We start from the raw sequence: 20,869 nt of genomic DNA, 5'->3' as shown, positions 1-20,869 counted from the left end.
GCCCCTGCAAATTCCCCTAAGGATTCAGGTACCACAGAAGCCAGAGGCCAGAGAAACCCCCAGTCTCCAAAATGACTTGTTTGGATGGGGAGAAGACAGGTCAGTCTTGCAAAAATCTTATGCCTACTACCTTCTTTAAAGAAATTAAGAAGAATAAGATACTTTCAACAATTTAAAATTAAAATTGCAGTGCTGTTTTAAAATAAAGGAAACAGGGGCAGGTGCGGTGGCTCACACCTGTAATCCCAGCACTTTGGGAGGCCAAGGTGGGTGGATCACGAGGTCAGGAGTTCAAGACCAGCCTGGCCAACATGGTGAAACCCCATCTCTATTAAAAATACAAAAATTAGCTGGGCGTGGTGGTGGGCACCTGTAATCCCAGCTACTCGGGAGGCTGAGGGGGAGAATTGCTTGAACCTGGGAGGTGGAGGTTGCAGTGAGCCGAGATCGTGCCACTGCGCTCCAGCCTGGGTGACAGAGCAAGACACCATCTCAAAAAAATAAAATAAAATTAATTAATTAATTAATTAAAATAAAGGAAACAGGCTAGGCACAGTGACTCATGGCTATAATCCCAGCACCTTGGGAGGCTGTGGAGGGAGGATCACTTGAGGCCAGGAGTTCAAGACCAGCCTGGGCAGCATAGTGAGACCTTGTCTCTAATAAAAAATCAAAAGTAGTTGGGCATGGTGGCATGTGTCGTAGCAACTACTCAAGAAGCTGAGGTGGGAGGATCACTTGAGCCTGAGATGTCAAGGCTGTAATGAGCTATGATCACACCACTGCACTCCAGCCTGAGCAACAGAGCAAGACCCTGTCTCAAAGAAAATAGAGCAGAGATGCCCCAGTTCCTTCTGTGACAGGTGTACACATCTATATGTACAACCTGTTATGCTGCCTGCAACAAAATGGCGGGGCATAGTTGGAGCCCTTAAAGAAATGGGAGCAAGACCGGCTATGGTGGCTTACACCTGTAATCCTAGCACTTTGGGAAGTTGAGGTGGGCAGATCACTTGAGGCCAGGAGTTTGAGACCAGCCTGGCCAACATGGCAAAACCTCGTCTCTACAAACAATACAAAAATTAGCTGGGTGTGGTGGCGCACACGCCTGTGATCCCAGCTACTCAGGAGGCTGAGGCAGGAGAATTGCTTGAACCCAGGAGGCGGAGATAGCAGGGAGCCAAGATCGCACCACTGCACTCCAGCCTGGGAAACAGAGGGAGACCTTGTCTCAAAAAAAAAGAGAGAGAAATGGGAGGGCATCCTGAGCAAGAGCCCCCCACCGTACCAGGAAGGACCCCCAAACTCAGATGGGGACTGGGAGGCTTCAGAGGTACACAGGGTCTTTGACATCAAGGAACTGCTAGTCTAAGGTTAGGTAAAACCTTCATCCTCAGCTCCTGATTTAACTGGGCAGTCATGCTTCCCAGTCTCAAAATGAAAGAGGCATATACATATTTAAACAAGTTTTTGTGTGCAAAATGGCATAGATGTAAGGGAGAATTCAAATATTTGTACTTAAAATTTTTTTTTTTGAGACGGAGTCTTGCTCTGTCGCCCAGGCCGGACTGCGGACTGCAGTGGCGCAATCTCGCCTCACTGCAAGCTCCGCTTCCCGGGTTCACGCCATTCTCCTGCCTCAGCCTCCCGAGTAGCTGGGACTACAGGCGCCCGCCACCGCGCCCGGCTAATTTTTTGTATTTTTAGTAGAGACGGGGTTTCACCTTGTTAGCCAGGATGGTCTCGATCTCCTGACCTCATGATCCACCCGCCTCGGCCTCCCAGAGTGCTGGGATTACAGGCGTGAGCCACCGCGCCCGGCCTGTACTTAAAATTTTTTAAACCTTTTAAGGTATGAAGGTAAATTGAATGCTGGATCAGTCTATCCCCTAATGGTTCAGATCTGCGTATGGTTTGGCCGTCCCTTGGAGAAGACTCGCTTTGTGGCCAAATGTAAAGGTAAGCCTTGACTGAGATGTCCTAGACACTGGAAAAAGGGTGTCCCAGAGTTAATTCTGCCTCCTGGTACCATTTCAGTATTCTATGTGCTGTATGTCTTCTTACCTTTTGAAACCAAAAGTAGACAGAGGGATTTGAGGATTGTGGGTGGTCACACAATTTGGTCTCCACTCCAGTGAAAGGGTTTTCCCTCCCCTGGGAACAGTGGCAGAGCCACAGGGGAGCAACAGGGTGTGGCGGGTAGAACCTGTGAACCCTAGACCCTGGTGTATGGTCCCTCCCCAGTCCCTAAAACTCCCAGCTGTGCTGTCCTGAATTTGGCCTGTGCCTCCATGTGGGTGACAGCGCTGTCCTCTTCTTCCACCAGCAATTCAGTCCTCCATCAAGCCAAGTCCCTTCTCCGGAAACATCTACCACATCCTGGGCAAAGTGAAGTTTTCAGGTAACCAGGGGCTGGGATTTGGGAGCTCTACACCATGGAGTGCTTGCATCTCATGATGTGAGTTCAGAGCCTCTGCTGGTGCTCTGCAGACCACTGATGCTGCTCAGACTCTCAGAAACCTTCCCCACCCTGGGCCTTCACGCCATCAGGCTTGTCCATCACCCCTCTCCGCCAAGGGCCTACTTAGTCTGGGTCCTCCTGTTCCATGGCAGAGGTTTGCCCTCCTCGCCTGGATGACCTGCTCAGGGGCTCTTCTCACAGCTTTTTGACCTTCTTGTTCAGAGCCTTACACTCCACACCTCTTGAGCCAGTCATGGCCTCCTCTAGACCTAAAACCAGGAGCTGCCCCAGTGCTGAGCTCTTCAGCTCTAGATCCATTTCTGACCAAAGTCTTTGAGCTTCTGTTTGCCTTCTCCTCTCTTCTGACTAGTAGGCCTGAGGATCAGTTTAGACCTCTGGAGCCCTTGCTGTCCTGGAGTGGGCATCAGAGAAGGCCTCAAAACCAGTAGGAGTCAGTCAACTCAATGTTGAGGAAAGGTACAGTATTCCAGGGGAAGGAAATAGCATTTGCTATAATCCAGAGGCAGAAAAGACACATTTCAGGAACCAAAAAGCATTTACCGTAACTGGAGCCTGGGAGTAGGGAGAGAGGGAGTGCGTCTGTTAGGGTGTCTTCAGCTGTTATCACAGAGAACCCCCACTCAGCTAGCAGGTGTTGGCTGTATAACAAGTGAGGCGCTCAAGCAGCAGAGCAAGGCCACTGAGGAGCCAGGTGATGTATGTCTTCGTGTCCTCCCCTTCTTGGTGTGTCAGCTTGTCTTTCAGGTTCCTGCCCCTTATGGTTGCCAAGTGGTGCTACAGGTCTGGGTGTCAAAGCCAGACACTGCATCCAGCCAATGAGGAGAGGCTGGCTCTTCCTGTGGGTGCCTTTGTCAGTGCAGCGCCTCCCCCAATTTCTCTGCCGACTTATCTCATTGGATTGCTGTGCCTTTCTGGACCCATCACCCATGGGGTATTGGTATTGGAAGAAGAGGGAGACAATATGGGGGGTCGGCAGCTATCAGTTTCTGCTGTAGGGGACCACTGAGGGCTCCAAGCATAGAACCATCATGGTTCAGATGGGAGAATTACATGGGTCCTTAGCTCATAGCTTTTGCTTGATTTATGTGATCAAATCAGAAACTTCGGCCCCACACCCAAGCCCACTAATCTCAGGCTCCAACAGCCAGCCCCTGCTGCTTCAGAGGTCTTGGTACTTTTGTTTTTCCCTCTCACCCATCACCTCCTTTTCTTCTTTTTTTTTATTTCTTTTTTGGCTGGGTGCAGTGGCTCACGCCTGTAATCCCAGCACTTTGGGAGGCCGAGGCAAGAGGATCACTTGAGGTCAGGAGTTCGAGACCAGCCTGGCCAATATGGTGAAACCCCATCTCTACAAAAAATAAAAAAAATTAGGCCAGGCTCGGTGGCTCACACCTGTAATCCCAGCACTTTGGGAGGCCAAGGCAGGCAGATCATTTGAGGCCAGCAGTTTGAGACCAGTCTGACCAACATGGTGAAACCCTGTCTCTACTAAAAATACAAAATTAGCTGGGTGTGGTGGCGGACACCCACCTACTGTAGGACACCACCTAGCTGTAATCCCAGCTACTTGGGAGGGTGAGACAGGAGAATCACTTGAACCTGGGAGATGGAGGTTGTAGTGAGCCAAGATTGTACCACTGCACTCCAGCTTGGGCAACAAGAGCAAAACTCTGTCTCAAAAAAAAAAATTAGCCGGGCATGGTGGCACATGCCTTTAATCCCAGCTACTTGGGAGGCTGAGGTAGGAGAATCACTTGAACCCAGGAGGCGGCCGTTGCAGTGAGCCGAGATTGTGCCACTGCACTCCAGCCTGGGCGACAGAGTGAAACTCCGTCTCAATAAAATAAATAAATAAATATTTTTATTTCTTTCTTCTTTTTATTTTTTGAGACAATGTCTCACTTTGTCACCTAATCCAGAGTATAGTGGTTTGATCTCGGCTCACTGCATCCTTGACCTCCCAGGCTCAAGCGATCATCCTACCTCAGCCTCCCAAGTAGCTGGGACTATAGGCGTGAACCACCATGCCTGGCTGATTTTTTTTCTTTTTTGTGGAGACAAGGTCTCCCTATGTTGCCCAGGCTGGTCTCGAATTCCCGGGCTCAAGTGATCCTCCTGCCTCGGCCTCCCAAAGTGCTGGAATTAAGGTATTAGCCACCACACCCAGCCTCTTGTTTATTTAGATCTGCTATTGACTCTTTTTTTGTTCAAATTTAACCTCGCTTTTTTCCGGATCCTTTCTCATCCTGCCTTTCAGGGAGCCCTTGCCCACTTCTTGGGTCTCCAGTCACTCCTAGCCCTCATCTCCTTAGCATGTAACACTTTTTCCCATTCTCATCTGTGTGACCTTCGTGCAACACTGCTGTACTGGTTTTTTTGTCTGTTTTGTTTTGTTTTTGAGACAGGGTCTTGCTCTGTTGCCCAGGCTGGAGTGCAGTAGTGCAATCCTAGGTCACTGCCCACCCCAGCCTCCCAAGTAACTGGGACTACAGGAACATACCATCACACCCAGCTAATTTTTTTGTTGTACTGTTGGCTGTGCCCTCCTCCCTTGGCCTCTGAGGCCTCTGCTGAGAGCCCCCCACTTCTACCAAGGGGGTTTCTTTGCTTTTCCTCAACCACCTCTTCCATAACAGCTATTCCAGCAACCACCAGGGACTATGTGGATGTCTCACGCTCAGGGTCTTAGAGACTTTCAAATGCCACAAGTGCAGAGTCAAACTCTTCCTCTTCTCCCACCTATAAACCTTTTTTTTCTCTTGTGTTTCCCTTCTGGGATAATAGTGTCCACCTGATCACCCAGATCAGCCAAGCCAGAAACTTATTTTGTTCCTCTCTGTCTCTCTCTCTTACTCCATCCTTTCTTTTCCTTTTTAAAAAACAAAACAAAATGGGATCTCCCTCTGTCACCCAGGCTGGAGTACAGTGGCGCAATCTCAGCTCACTGCAGCCTTGAATTCCTGGGCTCAAGTGCTCCTCCTGCCTCAGCCTCCTGAGTAGCTGGGACCACAAGCATGAGCCACTGTGCCCACCTACTCCATCCTTTCTAAGCTGCCACCAGTCACATCAGTTCTGTCTCTTGCATTTTCTCATGAATCTATCCCAACCATCTGCATTGTCACAGTCTTAGCATAGCTGTATCCTTTCAAGGCAGGCTCTCAGGGACTAATGTGTATTCTCCTTACAGACTCTGAGAGGACCATGGAGGTCTGCTACAACACACTGGCCAACTCCTTGAGCATCATGCCAGTTTTGGAAGGACCCACACCACCACCAGACTCCAAAAGCGTATCTCAAGACAGCAGCGGGCAGCAGGAGTGCTACCTTGTGTTCATCGGCTGCTCCCTGAAGGAAGACAGCATCAAGGACTGGCTGCGGCAGTCAGCTAAGCAGGTGGTTTCCAGAGCCCAGACAGACCTGACACAGATGTGACCAGACACCTCAGAGCTGCTGTTGGCCCTGAGAAGCCCCGCCACTGCCTCCCTGATGCCTCCCCACTGGGCTTCCTCTCCCTGGCCCAGCCAGCACTTGCAGGGACACTTTGAGAGAGGGAGGAAGCCACTGAGAGCAAACTCCAGGCAGGCCTGCTATGTTGTTTGCTTTGTGAGCCAGGTTCTCTGCAAGGTTTGGGTGCTAAGCCTTGTAGCACAGCCTTGGGGGTTTAGTTCATCCTAGAACTCTGGGACTAGAGTTAGCTGGGGCCTGGCTCTTCTGCAGATGCTCACTAGGGACCTGTCTTTATGCTGAGGGATGGGCTGCCTCACTTGGATAAGCTTCTAAACGGTTCTTGACTGTGGGGCCTCAGACTGCCCCTTTGTCTGCCTCTCATTGGTAGGGTTGAGGGATAAGAATCTACAAAGAGGCACGACCATTCCCATTTACGAAAACACTGGGCTGTCCTCTGCTGCTTGTTCCCTGCTGGCTCACAGGGCTCTGTGATGGGAAAGTGGTTTTCTCAAAGAGCAGACTAGACAGAATATTATATCCAGGCCATAGCGCACGTGCTTTCCCCACTGCTGAGATCTTAGTTGTGTAATAGAGCCCAGAGCCCTCCCCTGCCCATGCACTCCATGAGTTCTGCTGGGACCTGACCCTCCACTCCCCATCTCTGCAGAAGCCTCAGAGGAAAGCCCTGAAGACCAGGGGGATGCTGACGCAACAGGAGATCAGGAGCATCCACGTGAGTGCCTTGCCCTGGCTTCTCCCCTCGGTGGCCCAGGGCTGTCCTCGGCTTGCCTAGCTCTGTATTTTGGATTCTCTGAGTGAGGAGCTGTTTGTAGGACATGCTGGAGGTCTTGCTTCTCCCAGGCCACAGAGGGAAGCTGCGTACAGAATTCTGGCCTTTGCAGCCTCAGTGAGGAGGGCACAGGAGACCTCTGGTGTGACCTGGGCATCAGATTGAGTAGAGCCAGTACTTGTGGGAGAAGCTGATGACCAGAAGCCCTGCCTTGGCACCTTGTTCAAGCAACTGCAGAAGACCTATGTTACAGATGAACCAGCTAGAGCCCAGGCAAAAACTGTCTGGATCCAGAGGCTGCTCATAGGAAGGCTGTGGAACCTGAGGCCAGGATAAGAGGCTGATTGAGAGACCCCCTTGATGAGCCTCCCAGCCTCCAGGCTCTGACCCCCAGCCTCTGCTTCAGTCGCCATGCTCACTGGGGCCTTTTCCTGAGGGGTTTGGGGACAAAAAGCTAAAAAGGACACAGAGTCTAGGTCCCCAGGATGCCAGTAATGAGCAGGTGGGGCAGGAAAGTATTCTGGGACTCCAGGAGCCCCTGCTTTGGATTTGAGGAGGCCCCTTTCATAAACAGCTCCTATAGGCCCGGACAACCTGGGTGCTCCTGGGGAGGACAACATGGGCATAAGGTAGTCCTTATAATGCATGTTCCCCTGAAAGCCAACCGTGAACAAGGAGTTAAGTACAGGTAGTTTATTTTGGAAGTGATTCTAGGAGACACTAAATAGGAAACAGGAGGATGAAAGAGGAGAGGGGGAAACAGCCAATAAAGAGTGTGTTTGTGGCCGGGCATGGTGGCTCACGCCTGTAATCCCAGCACTTTGGGAGGCTGAGGTGGGTGGATCACTTGAGGTCAGGAGTTCAAGACCAGCCTGATCAATATGGTGAAACCCTGTCTGTACTAAAAATACAAAAATTAGCCAGGCGTGGTGGCGCATGCCTGTAATCCCAGCTACTCGGGAGGCTGAGGCAGGAGAATTGCATGAACCCAGGAGATGGAGGTTGCAGTGAGCCAAGATCACGCCACTGCACTCCAACCTGGGTGACAAAGCAAGACTCTATCTCAAAAAAATAAATAAATAAATAAAAGAGTGTGTTTGCACATCAGTACCACTGCACACCGTGGGAACTTCATCCCACTAGGACCTCCCAGAGCTCCTCACCTGAGAGGTGGGGAACCACCTCAGGCAGGGCTTGAGGTTTGCCGGGGGTGTTAGCTTCCTAGCTCCTCTGTATAGCAGAGTAGTCTATCTTGCTAGGGAAATAGACTTGTTTGTTTTAATGAGTGAGTGAAGTATAGAAAGTAGTCAGATAATTATTACAGGTCTCTTTTCTCCTACAGGTAAAACGCCACTTGGAACCCCTACCTGCAGGCTACTTTTATAATGGCACCCAATTTGTTAACTTCTTTGGTGACAAAACTGATTTTCACCCACGTATCCTTGGAACAGCGTGGTCCCTGTGTGGAACCCGGGCAGTGAGGCTGGGAGTGTGTGACCCTGTCTGCAAAGCGGTTGTCTGCCAGAGCCATGCATTTGAGCCCCAGGAGCACTCTGCATGTCCACTGATGGGTCAGGAATGCACAGGGGCAAACCTCAGGGGCGAACTTTTCATTTCAGTCTCTAAAGCTGTTAAAGTTAAATTGCTCCTTTATTGAGTGATTGCTAATGTGACTCTGGGTTATAGTTTTTTGGTTTTGTCTTGTTTTAATTTTTTTTTGGAGATGGAGTTTCACTCTTGCTGCCCAGGCTGGAGTGCAATGGCGCAATCTCAGCTCACTGCAACCTCCGTCTCCCAGGTTCAAGTGATTCTCCTGCCTCAGCCTCCCGAGTAGCTGGGATTACAGGCGCCTGCCGCCGTGCCCGGCTAATTTTGTATTTTTAGTAGAAACGGAGTTTCTCCATGTTGGTCAGGCTGGTCTCAAACGCCTGACCTCAGGTGATCCTCCCACCTCAGCCTCCTGAAGTGCTGGGATTACAGACATGAGCCACCGCGCCCAGCTTAGAGACTAGGTCTCGCCATGTTGCCCAGGCTGGTCTCAAACTCCTGGGCTCAAGTGATCCATCTACCTCAGCCTCCCAAATTGCTAGTATGGCAGGCATGAGCCACTGCGCCCAGCCTGTGAGTTATAGTTTGGATGCAGCTGCGGTGATATCCTGAAGTCTGTCGTCATCAGAGTCACGATTTACAAGTCGAAGACAGCCTAATTACAACAGTTAACCTGTGAAAAGATGGATAGGGCTGAAGCTGAAGGGCTCAGTTCTAGGACCTCATTAACATCCCTGTGACAACAGCCATTGCATTCTTTGTAGCTGTGGTGCTGCCAGTATATACAAAGAGTCCATCAGGTTCCCTCTCTATGGGCCAGACACTCACTTCCTCAGCAAACCCCCCTCACCTGCCTACAGGCCGCTCTGGGCTCAGGCAGCCTCCCTTGTCCTCCAGGCTCAGAGCTCTCTTCCTTAATGAGATACCAGTCATGGACCAGTTCATGAATGACTACGTGGAAGAAGCCAACCGGGAAATTGAGAAGTATAACCAGGAGCTGGAACAGCAGGAGTATCATGACCTCTTTGAGCTGAAGCCCTAGAGGAAGGCTGGGCCCGTACGTCCTGCAGAATGTCCACCTTGGAGATGGACGAACGGGTGTCTTAACCTCAGCTCTGCTGGAGGCCTCTCCCTTAAGGGGCTGTCTTTGTTCTCCTTGGCCTGTGTGGGCTGGCTTGAGTGCATGTTGTCTTTATTCCCTGTATAGCGCTGAAGAGCATCACCTGCACCATTGATTTTGGGGGTCGGGGGAATACTCAAGGATGAGCAGATGGGGCCTGCCCGTCTACGTGTGCAACTGGCAGTCCAGGAGCTCTGGGTTTCTGATAACAGGATCTCCTTTGGGCTCTTGAGGTTGGGGAGAAGCATTAGGATTACACAGAGGAGCTACTGGGACTTAGAAGGAACCCTGGCTGCCTGAACTGTGGCCGTGTCTGGGAGGCGAGGCCACGACAGGCCTCAAGCCTCAGATGCTGCTCCACGAGAGCCATCTTCCCCAGTGGAGTGCCTGCCTCCCCTGCTAGGCCCGTTTCCCTGAAGGAGCTGGCCGTACTGGCCGTGGGCCCAGTCCTGGGAGGAGCAGCACAGCCTTGCCCAGGCCCAGTCCACAGAGCCAGCAGCTTGGGTTGAGATGAATGATGTGTTCACAAATGAGGGGATTTCCCTTCTGGACTAAACTGAAGGAGAGGCTTGTTGCTTTCCAGAGGTGTGTGGCTCTTAAGTTGACATCAGCTTTTCCCCTTGTGGGTGGTTCTTTAGCTCTCCTGTCACACCATTCGGGTGTCCTAATGTAGGGACAAGAGCAAGCCTGCTGCTCAGGCCCCCTGGCGAGGCTTCACCTCACTGTGGAAGGGGGCGTCCTGCAGCTGGTTAGTCTTAGGCCTGGTGGCTGATCACTTGTGGGGTCAGTCTCCAGCACCCAGCGCTCCCACAAGCCTTGCCAAGGAAGGCCTGCTTTTCAGCCACAAACTTCAGGAAACTCATCCCCCCGCTCCCCAAAGTGTTGTTGCTGGCCCTGGGCTTGTGTGGCTCCTGAGGATTGGGAATTTCAAATAATTGCAATACCTGAGTTAGAATTCCTTCTAATGGCATCGTTTTAAGCTGGACCATAAAGCAGAGGGGAATTACAAGTGTGTCCCATGCCTGACCTTCATAATTGGTGTGGGGGACAGGGGAGTCACAGCCACTGATATTTAGGTGATGTCTCTTAGGACTTCAGTGCCTCAGCTGCCTGAACTGTAAATGTTTTCTGAATTTCACATATTTTTTTTTGCATGCCTTAGGAAGAAGCACATAGGTAAAACCAGCAGTTTCCAGTAATATAGGGGGTTTTTGAGCAAGGCCCCTGGAGCAGCGGAGAGACAAGATGGAGCACATGTAGTCTGTGTGCCTGGTCACACAGAGGCCTGCATGCAAGTAGCAAAGCAGCTCTCAAGGGCTTGTCAGTAAAATATATTAGAAAAAAAAAAAAAACAATTTGAAGCCAAATGAACAAAACTCCAGATACCATTGATAAGAAATTTTGCATCAAGAAGGGCTTCTGAAAAGACCCACGTGCTCCAGTCCCAGCTCCAAAAGCCACTGATGACAAGGGCCCCACTGTGGAACCTAAGTCTGGGAGCCCCCTGACTTCTGGCTGGCCAGAGGCTGCGGTCCGTCAAGGGCTTGCCTCGCTTCAGAATCAGTAACATAGATCTTAAGTGCAATTGATTAATAAGCAGTGAGTTACTGTAGCTTCCTTTAGCTCTACCGAACTCTTTTTAAAAACTCAAACTTGAGCAGCCTTAGAAAAGGGGTTGGGGGGTGGGAACCACAGGCCATTTCTCTAAGTGGGCTGCTGTGAAGTTTTAAATGAAAGCTCTAGCTTTAGGAGCTTGAGCCATTTCCTGACTGCACTGGCCTGGCAGTCTGGCTGCTGCAGAAGAGTTTTTAAAGAGGGGTCGGAGCCCGCCCGTGAGAGCGGGTCTTCTCACCATGTGGGGCTGTACTACGTGGTGGTCTTTGTTTCTCTTCACAGAAATGCTCTCTCACCAACTTGCCCCACTGTCCCAACTCCTCTCCTCTTAGAGAAAAAACTGTGATTACCTCAACTTGAATATGAAACTGTGATTGAAAAAAGTCAAAACGTGAAGAAGCATCAAAGCCAAAAAGGCAAAACTGGCTGAGGCCTCTGTTGATGCTCCTCAGCCTACTCGGGAACGTGAAGGGGCAGCTGGCGAAAGGGCATTCCTGGGGCCACTTGCTCTGCCCCACTGATAAGGCACACCCGCGGTGCACTGTGAGCTCTTTGAGGACTGAGGCCAGGGGATGCCTCCTGGAACCTGCCAGGCCTCTCTGTTCTGTGAAGGTCAGTATCCACTTGATTCCTCCAGGCGGCGCTCCAGGTGGGAGGAGCAGGGTCTTCTGCTGTTTCCAAAGGAATGGCCATGACACTGCTTTTGACCTTAGAAGTGGATCCAGGGACCCAGCAAAGAGCGGGGGTGGGTTCCCAGGGACAGGCAGTCCTCCCGGGGCTTACATGCTTTTTGCTAACTTTCCTATTAGCAGCTTCAGTTTATATCACCCAGAGTGCGTGGGATAATGTTGAAGTCGCTGAAGTTACGGGTTATTTTATGTTTTTACATGGGATTTTTCTGTTTTTGATTGGAAGAAGGAGACAGAAATTGGAGGAAATGGGATTATTATCCTAGGGAAGGGCCGTTGGCAAGGAGTTGAGCCGGCCCCTCTGAGCCCTGGGGGCTATCTGACCTGAAGCCTGGACACTGGGCCCTTCAGGTCGCAAGAAAAAGTTCCCTCCTAAATTCTATTAGGATTTTGGAGAATTTTTGCACAGTAAGAAGCTCTGGGTTGCTCCTTGGGCTTCTCAAAAGGGAAAAGTTCAATTCAAAGATTGTAAACTACGAAGTATTCCAGCCGTGTTGCTGATCTAGTTGGATAGTTGTACCTCAAAAAAGTAGGTGAGAACTGGCTTCCTCATTGTCCCAGGATGTCAAATACTAATGACATAAGAGCTCACTTACGTGCCAAAATTCACTTTTATACTAGTTTTTCAGTGCTTTAATATTTGTAACTTAAATTTTAAAACTCGTATTTACAAACACTACTGTAACTTCAGTGAAACTGAATTGTGCGATTGAAGCTTTTTGCTTATCATAGTATTTATTACACTACTTAATTCAGTAAATATATAAAAGTAGCCTTCAATTTATTTTTATATTATTTTACATGTTTTTACCTGCAGTTGTGTATGTGAATTTACCTTGGTAATCGAGATGTCATGCTAAGGACCAATAAACTATCACTGAACAAGCAAGGCCTCCAGACGATGCCTGTGCCATACACTCAGTCCCGTGTGCTCCTGGGGCGGGGGTGACGGGGGCCGGCCCTCAGCCTCCCCTGGACGCCTCTGGTGGGGATGCTGCGGGAAGTCCTCGGAGCTCACACTCCCTCCCTAGACGCCGGAGCAGCCCGTGGAGAGTAAGAATAAAATTCATCTGAAGAAACCACACTGGCTTGCGGGGTGGGAACTTGGGGAGTCCCAGAACTTGGGGAGGGGCTCAAGGAAGCCGGCTATGGGAACGGGGCTCTCCCGGCCCACCCGTGTCCCTCACCCTCGTCTTAGTCCGCCGTGCACGGGTGCCGGTTCTCGGCCCCAGCCTGCCGCGGCCGAGCTGTAGTAGGAACCACGCCTTTCCAGCCTGATGGGCGCGTTTCCGCGCAGTGAAAGCTTGGCGAGGTGGCTCCTCGGTCCTACTTTATACATGGGGACGACTGGAGGCGCTGACGGGTCAAGTAAGGGCCAGATTTGGCGCTGCGCGTTGGAACCGCAAGTTCTAACGGGGGGGTTTGCCGGAGCCCGCGGAGCTCTAGAGGAGCGACCAGAAAGGCATCAGCTGTCCCCGTGCAAGCTCGGGTTCCACTCGCCAGGCGGTTCCTGCCGCACGTGGCGCGGGCCTCCCACCTGACCACACCCCGGGCCCCCGCTGGCCGCGCAGGGAGGTGAGGAAAAGGGGCGCCCGCCGCCAGTCCATAGACACCCTGCTTCCTGTCAACCAGTCGCTGGGTGGGACAAGGGGAAATGCCCCACTGGGCAGATGTGGAAGCTGGCCCGGGGGAAAGGGTGTAGCCTCCGCAGATAGCTTCAGGTGATTGGGATGGTGGTCTTAGGTTTGGAAGTTCCTTGAGATAAATTAGTCCTGTGCAAACCAAATGCAAATCTGCACGGGAAGGGCCTGGTAGACTTGGGGGAGGGGGCTGGCGGCAGTGTTACCCTTTCACAACCTCTTCCCCAGAGCCTCCGGCATCCCCATCCTGCAGGCCGGGGTTTGAACTTTGATGGAGCGCCTGCGGTTGCATTACGGCAAAACCTCTAGGGTTTGGGGATTAACCCCTAGGAATTGCCAGAACGATGGGGAGACAGTAAATGGTGAAGGGCTCTCAGAGGGACTTAGAGGCCAGGAAACCTGAGGATGGGGAAAGGATCCCATCTTCCACCTGGAGCTCTCAGTAGGGACAGGGGACTACTGAAACCCTAGTGCTGCTTACCAGAGTGGGAGCCCCAGAGTCAGGGAATCCTGGCAGAGTCGATTGTGAAAAGTGATTTAGAGCAGATCTCATGTGGAGCTGCTGAAAATCAGAGAGCCCGCCAAGGAACACAGAGAAACACCAGTGTTAATCTCTATCCTACACTCTAGGGAAAAGTTATACCCAAAGAAGACATGACCATGTGACCCACTTCCAGCCCATGACAGAAAGAGATCAGCTTGGTTTCTGCAGGAGTCCAGACTAGTACCAGCTACAGGTCAGCCAGGCGCAGGCACTAGTATGTCATCAGAACCCTCTATCTTCGGTGGCTTCATTCTTCCCCTGCAGCAAGCTTCCCTTACACCACCAGCAGCACCAGGGTCCCATAGGCAAGGATCACATTCTCATCCCTGAATAATTACCATGGTCAGGAGGAATGGAGTTTTCTGATTAGCCTGGCCTTGGGTCTCCATACCAGGCCCATCTGAGAGGTGGGCCCCCCACAGAACGGCTTGCTCCCCTAAACCAGCATTACGCATCTCCCTGCAGTTTCTGAGCTTTTCTGATAAGTCAGACACCTACTTGATTTTTATTATTATTATTTTTTTTTTTGGATACAGTCTCGCTCTGTCGCCCAGGCTGGAGTGCAGCAGCGAGATCTCGGCTCACTGCAACCTCCACCCCCTGGGTTCAAGAGATTCTGCTGCCTCAGCCTCCCGGGTAGCTGGGATTATAGGCACATGCCACCACACCCAACTTTTTTTTTTTTTTTTTGTATTTTTACTAGAGGAGGGGTTTCACTATGTTGAGAAGGCTGGTCTTGAACTCCTGACTTCAAGTGATCCACCAGCCTTAGCCTCCCAAACTGCTGGGATTACAGGCATAAGCCACCACACCTGGCTTTTTTTTTTTTTTTTTTTTTTTTTTTTTTAAGACAGAGTCTCACTCTGTTGTCCAGGCTGGAGTGCAGTGGTGCAATTATAGCTCACTGCAGCCTCAACCTCCTGGGGCTCAGGTAATCTCCCATCTCAGCTTCTTGAGTAGCTAGGACTACATGCATGTGCCACCTCACCCAGCTAACCTACATTTTTTTTTTTAAACAGAGTCTCACTCTGTAGCCTAGGCTATAGATCACAGCTCACTGCAGCCTCAACCTCCCTGGGTTCAGGTCATCCTCCCCACTCAGCCTCCCGAATAGCTGGGACTCCAGGTGCACACCACTATGCTGGGCCAAATTTTGCATTTTTTGTAGAGATGTTATCTATGTTGCCCAGGCAGGTTTCAAACTCTTGGGCTCAAGTCATCCTCCTGCCTTGGCCTCCCAAAGTGCTATGTTACAGGAGTAAGCCACTGCACCCAGCCCATTGTTTGGTTTTATAGTGCCTCAGCACAACCCAGGGATACCAGTGATCATGGGATCCTGTCTGAGAATCTATTTTTCTTAAACAAAAGAAAGGTCAAAAAAAAGAAAAAAGAGAAAAAGACAGGTCATGTAGAGCCAGGCACGGTGCCTCACACCTGTAATCCCAGCACTTTGGGAGGCCAAGGCAGGCGCATCACTTGAGGTCAGGAGTTCTAGACCAGCCTGGCCAACATGGTGAAACCCTGTCTCTACTAAAAATACAAAAATTAGCCGGGCGTGGTGGCAGGTGCCTATAATCCTAGCTACTCGCGGGGGCCGAGGCAGGAGAATCACTTGAACCCGGGAGGCGGAGGTTGCAGTGAGGCGAGATCGTGCCATCACACTCCAGCCTGGGCGACAGAGCGAGGTTTCATCTCAAAAAAAAAAAAAAAAAAAAAAAAAACGCCGGAGGTGGTGGCTCACACCTGTAATCCCAGCACTTTGGGAGGCCAAGGTGGGTGGATCACGAGGTCAGGGGTTCAAGACCAGCCTGACCAACATGGTGAAACCCTGTCTCTACTAAAAATACAAAAATTAGCTGGGCGTGGTGGCGGGCACCTGTAATCCCAGCTCCTCAGGAGGCTGAGGCAGGAGAATTGCTTGAACCTGGGAGGTGGAGGTTGCAGTGAGCCTAGATGGTGCCACTGCCCTCCAGCCTGGGTGGCAGAGCGAGACTCCTTCTCAAAAAAAAAAAAAAAAAAGAAGAAAGAAAGGTCATATAGACTGTGATGTGGGGAATGGGCTGCTGCTCCACGTGGGTGGAGGTGAGAAGTGGACCAACTGGAGAGCCATTTTGAAGGAACAATTGACAAGACCATGACTAACTAGGCAACAGCTAAGGAGATGACCTCGAGGTAAAAGTGGAAAAAGCCCAAGTGGAAAAAACCCAACGTTTTGAAACAAATCCAAATACTTTTTTTGTTTCATCTCTAAAAATTTGATGAAAAATAAATTTGTTTATCCACAAATTATTCCTGTTTTTCCCAGGCCTCTGCATTCCTAAATTGACCAGCTAAAAGAGTTTGGTTTTTTAAAAAATTACATCAGATTCAATAAATTTTATGTCCTACTCATAAATGACTGTAAATCTGTAAAATATATTTATATATATATTAACCAAATAAAGTGTGAATAATTTTCATTTTATCCCACAAATTACTACTGCTTTTCCTGCAGCAATAAAGTGTGATTTTTGTTTTCCTCTCATGACTGGACATGTTTAAGAAACTTTTCATCTCTACTCTGAAATTTCATGCCTGGATGAATGTACAAATAGAGAAATAAGGACAACAGGAACTGGAAAGATGGTTTGATAAGATTATTTCAGTTTGAGACAAAATTCATGGAATTTTCTAGCTACGAAAACTCCATTCCAGCTTATTTGTTTTATAGATAACAACGATCAGAGATCTAAAGAGGCTGGAGGTCTTGCTCCAGGGTGTTGCCCTGGGCCTCCCCACCACCTCTCTCTTCCCTGTGCCTCCAAATTCCTGGGAGGAGTTGGGGCTGGAGAGGAGGGTGACCTGGATGGGGTCTCAGGCCACATCAGCCCCCAATGGTGACATCCAGGCCCCTGAGCAGGATGGGGACCAGCGAGGAGAGCCATGGGTGAGGAAGACATGAGGGACACAGATTGGCCAAGGATGGCCAGGAGGTGACAGTCTACCCAGAGAACCTTAGGGTCACCAGGTAGAATTCTTCCTTGGGTAGCAGGTGATGGGATTTTGATGGAGTAGGGCCTGGGGGTAGGTGAGGGTGGGGAAGGAAGCCAGTGTTTGGTTGTGAGAGGCTGGGCTGTGGAGGGCAGAGAGGCCTGACAGGAGGGCAGTGGGGCAGCCCCAGAATCTTCCTGCCCAGTGGTCTGCTGCATGCCTGCCACAAGACCTTGACAGTCTGTATGCCTGGAATTCATGAGCTCTTAGAATCAGTGAGCCAAGAGCCCTAGCCCACTCCTGCCCATGCTAGCTTTGGACTGTGAGTATGGACTGAGGGGCGGGGCAGACAGATGCCATCCTGAGGGTAGCAGGTCCTTGTTGACCCTCTGCAGGGCAGGGGCTCCTTGCCCTCCTGGATGCCCTTATGTTATAGTAGCCTGGATCTTTCTCTCAGTAGGGGTAGATGGCAACTGAGAGAGGGCTTATTGCTGTGTTTGTTGAGCACCAAAGGGTTGTCCTTCCACCTACCCAAGGGGCCGGGAGATGCCCCCCAGGAAAGAGAGGAGGCCAGTGGAGGCTATGTTCCCCCTCCCAGCACCCTGCAGCATTACCAGGACAACCAGTCTCATGCTGGGCTCCCACGGATAGAAAGCAAAAGCTGACGGGACAGGAAGAGTTATGGCGTGGGGGAAGACAGTCTAAACAAAGATTGAGATCTCTTGAAGCCAGGTGTTCAGGACCAGCCTGGGCAACACAGCAAGGCCGTCTTTTCCAAAAATTTTGAAAATAAAAAAATTAGCCAGGCGTGATGACACCTGCTTGTAGTCTCACCTACTTGGGAGGCTGAAGTGGGAGGATGAGTTGAGCCCAGGAGGTCAAGGCTGCAGTGAGCTATGATTGCGCCACTGTAATCCAGCCTGGGTGACAGAGAAAGACCCTGTCTAAAAAAATTAAAAATATTTGGAGGGGAACAGGAGACTGGCATGATTGTTGGGGTCCAGTTAGACCACCAGGGAGTATCAGGCAGTTGATTCAGTGGGCAGCTGAGCCCAGTCACTTGGCCTGGTTCAGAGCTGGACATAGGGCTCCCATAAATAACTAACCATTACAGATGACAAGTCCTCAATCATAGAGAGAGAGCGTGGGAACAGCACCTCTCCTCCCCAGGAACAGCGAGGAGGCGGAGCAGCTGCAGCTGGAGAAGGGCTACCAGAGGCTGAGAACACCGGTCAAGGCAGCGGGAGCCCCAAGAGGCTGGTAAAATCCCAGTGACTTCAGAGAGAGCGGCTGGCTGCGAGGTATGGGAAGCCATGCCTGCCAAGGGTCCAAGGAAGGCTATGGCAGCCAGGATGCTGCAGACCCGAGGTAGAAATAAAAGGACTCAGCTGAGTGCCGTGGCTCACACCTGTAATCGCAATTTGGGAGGCCGAAGTGCGCAGATTGCGGGAACCTGGGAGGTTGAGGCTGCAGTGAGCAGTGGTCTCACCACTGCACTCCAGCCTGGGCGACACAGCAAGCCCCTGTCTTAATGAATAAATAAATATAAAAAAATAAAAATAAGGCTGGGCACGGTGGCTCACACCTGTAATCCCAGCACTTTGGGAGGCTGAGGTGGGAAGATCGCTTGAGCCCAGGAGCTTGAGACCAGCCTGGGCAACATGGTGAGATCCCCATCTCTACAAAAATTAAAAAAAAAAAAATGCCAGGCACAGTGGCTCATGCCTGTAATCCCAGCACTTTGGGAGGCCGAGGCAGTGGATCACCTCAGGCCAGGAGTTCAAGACCAGCCTAGCCAACATGGCAAAACCCCCTCTACCAAAAATACAAAAATTAGCCAGGCATGGCAGGCGGATCATGAGGTCAGGAAATTGAGACCATCCTGGCTAACAGGGTGAAATCCCATCTCTACTAAAAGTACAAAAAATTAGCCGGGCATGGTGGCTGGTGCCTGTAGTCCCAGCTACTCGGGAGGCTGAGGCAGGAGAATGGCGTGAACCCAGGAGGTGGAGCTTGCAGTGAGCCGAGATGGCGCCGCTGCACTCCAGCCTGGGCAACAGTGCAAAACTGTTTCAAAAAAAAAAAAAAAAAAAAAATTAGCCAGGCATGGTGGTGCATGACTGTAATCCCAGCTCCTGGGGAGGCTGAGGCGGGAGAATCACTTGAACCTGGGAGACGGAGGTTGCAGTAAGCCAAGATTGCATCGCTGCACTCCAGCCTGTGAGACAGAGTGAGACCCCATTTCTCTCAAAAAAAAAAAAAAAAAAAATTAGCCAGGCACAGTGGTGCACACCTGTAGTCCCAGCTGATGTGGGAGGATCGCCTGAGGCCAGGAGATCGAGGCTACAGTGAGCCGTGTTTGTGCCACTGCACTCCAGCCTGGGTGGCAGAGTGAGACTCTGCCTCAACAAAATAAAAATCAAAGAAATAAAATGACTCAGTGAAATGTGGCCATCCAGGGTGAGAGGAAGGAGGCAGAGGGGAGTCGGGAGTATCTGGCTGGGATGCCCATTAGGCTAGACCAGAAAGCCTGAGTGGAATGGAGGATGGAGGATGGAGAAGAGAGCTTCGGGAGGGCGTCATAGGCCTGAAATGCCTCCATGGAGATATCTGCCTTTAACATTCCTTTGGGTTTTTTGTTTGTTTTGAGATGGGTGGGTCTCCCTATGTTGCCCAAGCTGGTCTCAACACTCCTGGGCTCAAGGGATCCTCCCATCTCATCCTCCCTAGTAGCTGGGATTATAGGTATGTGCCACCGCACCTGGTTTACTTTTTGTTTTTTGTTTTGTTTTGTTTGTTTGTTTTTGAGATGGAGTCTCAGCAGTTTCAGTGGTGTGGTGGGGACAAAAGACAGGTATGAGTCGGTTGAAGAGACATAGCGGGAGGGGCATGGAGCTCTGGAGAAACTTCCTCTTAAATGTAGCTGAGGGATAAGGCAGCACCCGGAGGGCAAGGGGCTTTAAGGGAAATTTTTTTTTTTTTTTTTTTGAGATGGAGTCTCGCTCCGTCGCCTGGGCTGGAGTGCAGTGGCACGATCTCGGATCACTGCAACTTCCACCTGCCGGGTTCAAGCAACTCTCCTGCCTCAGCTTCCCGAGTAGCTGGGACTACAGGCATGCGCCTCTATGCCCAGCTAATTTTTTTGTATTTTTAGTAGAGAGGGGGTTTTAGCATGTTGGTTTGCCAGGATGATCTCCATCTCTGGACTTTGTGATCTGCCCACTTCGGCCTCCCAAAGTGCTGGGATTACAGGCGTGAGCCACCGCGCCCGGCCGGGGAATGTTTTGTTTTTAAAATGAGCCCTTTTTTTTTTGAGATAGGGTTTCTCTCTGTCACCACGGCTGGAGTGCAGTGATGCAGTCTTGGCTCACTGCAGCCTTGACCTCCCTGGCTCAAACAATTCTCCCACACCAGCCTGCTGAGTGGCTGGGACCACAGGCGTATGCCACCATGCCTGGCTAAGTTTTTGTAATTTTAGTAGAGACGGGGTTTCACCGTGTTGCCCAGGCTGGTCTCGAATTCCTGAGCTTGAGCAATCCTCTCACTTCTGCCTCCCGAAGTGCTGGGATTACAGGTGTGAGCCACCAAGCCCGGCCTAAAAATGAGATGTTATACATTTACTTCAGACCCCAGATTCTACAATCCACAGGCAAGATAAGTGGCATCAGGGGAGGACAGCAGAAAACTGTTAAGTGCGCCTTGTGGAACCCAGCGGTTACAGTTTCAAGTCCACAGCCCAGTAAAGTCTGAGACCCCAAGGGAGGGAATGAGAGGGAAAGTGGGTGCCTGCGTCTGGGTCCCTCAACCTGCCTGCCTATGTAAGGACCCAGTGGGGCACAGGACAGGAGATCTGGGGCACCAGTATTTGCCTTCAGCGTCAGACGATCTACACAGGACAGGAGGCAGGTGGGAGGACTGAAGGAAACAGCCTCTGAAACGGTCAGTCTGGAGGCAGCAGGCGTGTGGGCCTCAGGGGTTCCCTCCAGGAAGGCCGAGGGAACAGAACCGCAGGGGCAGAGCACAGG

The 20,869-nt window shown here is 50.9% G+C and overlaps 1 protein-coding gene across 4 annotated transcripts in view, besides 3 other annotated features; it reads left to right on the top strand.

Moving 5' to 3' along the window:
* Positions 1-12,575, top strand: part of DNAAF9 (dynein axonemal assembly factor 9) — a 158,364-nt gene extending 145,789 nt beyond the window's left edge. For all 4 annotated transcript variants that reach the window (XM_005260684.5, NM_001009984.3, XM_011529208.4 and 1 more), the window contains 6 exons: positions 1,853-1,959; positions 2,327-2,401; positions 5,670-5,875; positions 6,597-6,662; positions 8,062-8,155; positions 9,197-12,575. In XM_005260684.5, coding sequence (XP_005260741.1) covers positions 1,853-1,959; positions 2,327-2,401; positions 5,670-5,875; positions 6,597-6,662; positions 8,062-8,155; positions 9,197-9,309 — 661 coding nt within the window. In that variant the 3' untranslated portion in view covers positions 9,310-12,575. The remainder of the gene's footprint in view (positions 1-1,852; positions 1,960-2,326; positions 2,402-5,669; positions 5,876-6,596; positions 6,663-8,061; positions 8,156-9,196) is intronic.
* Positions 11,098-11,598: an enhancer, noted in NCBI's record as "H3K4me1 hESC enhancer chr20:3230929-3231429 (GRCh37/hg19 assembly coordinates)". NCBI's record gives its function as "activates a minimal SCP1, AML or CMV promoter by ChIP-STARR-seq in naive H9 embryonic stem cells {active_cell/tissue: H9 hESC(naive)}" and the evidence as "EXISTENCE:reporter gene assay evidence [ECO:0000049][PMID:30033119]".
* Positions 12,258-13,002: an enhancer, noted in NCBI's record as "H3K4me1 hESC enhancer chr20:3229525-3230269 (GRCh37/hg19 assembly coordinates)". NCBI's record gives its function as "activates a minimal SCP1, AML or CMV promoter by ChIP-STARR-seq in naive H9 embryonic stem cells {active_cell/tissue: H9 hESC(naive)}" and the evidence as "EXISTENCE:reporter gene assay evidence [ECO:0000049][PMID:30033119]".
* Positions 13,003-13,748: an enhancer, noted in NCBI's record as "H3K4me1 hESC enhancer chr20:3228779-3229524 (GRCh37/hg19 assembly coordinates)". NCBI's record gives its function as "activates a minimal SCP1, AML or CMV promoter by ChIP-STARR-seq in naive H9 embryonic stem cells {active_cell/tissue: H9 hESC(naive)}" and the evidence as "EXISTENCE:reporter gene assay evidence [ECO:0000049][PMID:30033119]".

This window comes from Homo sapiens, chromosome 20 (genome assembly GCF_000001405.40).
Source record: "Homo sapiens chromosome 20, GRCh38.p14 Primary Assembly".
Taxonomy (NCBI): Eukaryota; Metazoa; Chordata; class Mammalia; order Primates; family Hominidae; genus Homo; species Homo sapiens.
The sequence above is the reverse complement of the archived record's forward strand: the minus strand, read 5'-3'. Positions and strand labels throughout refer to the sequence as shown.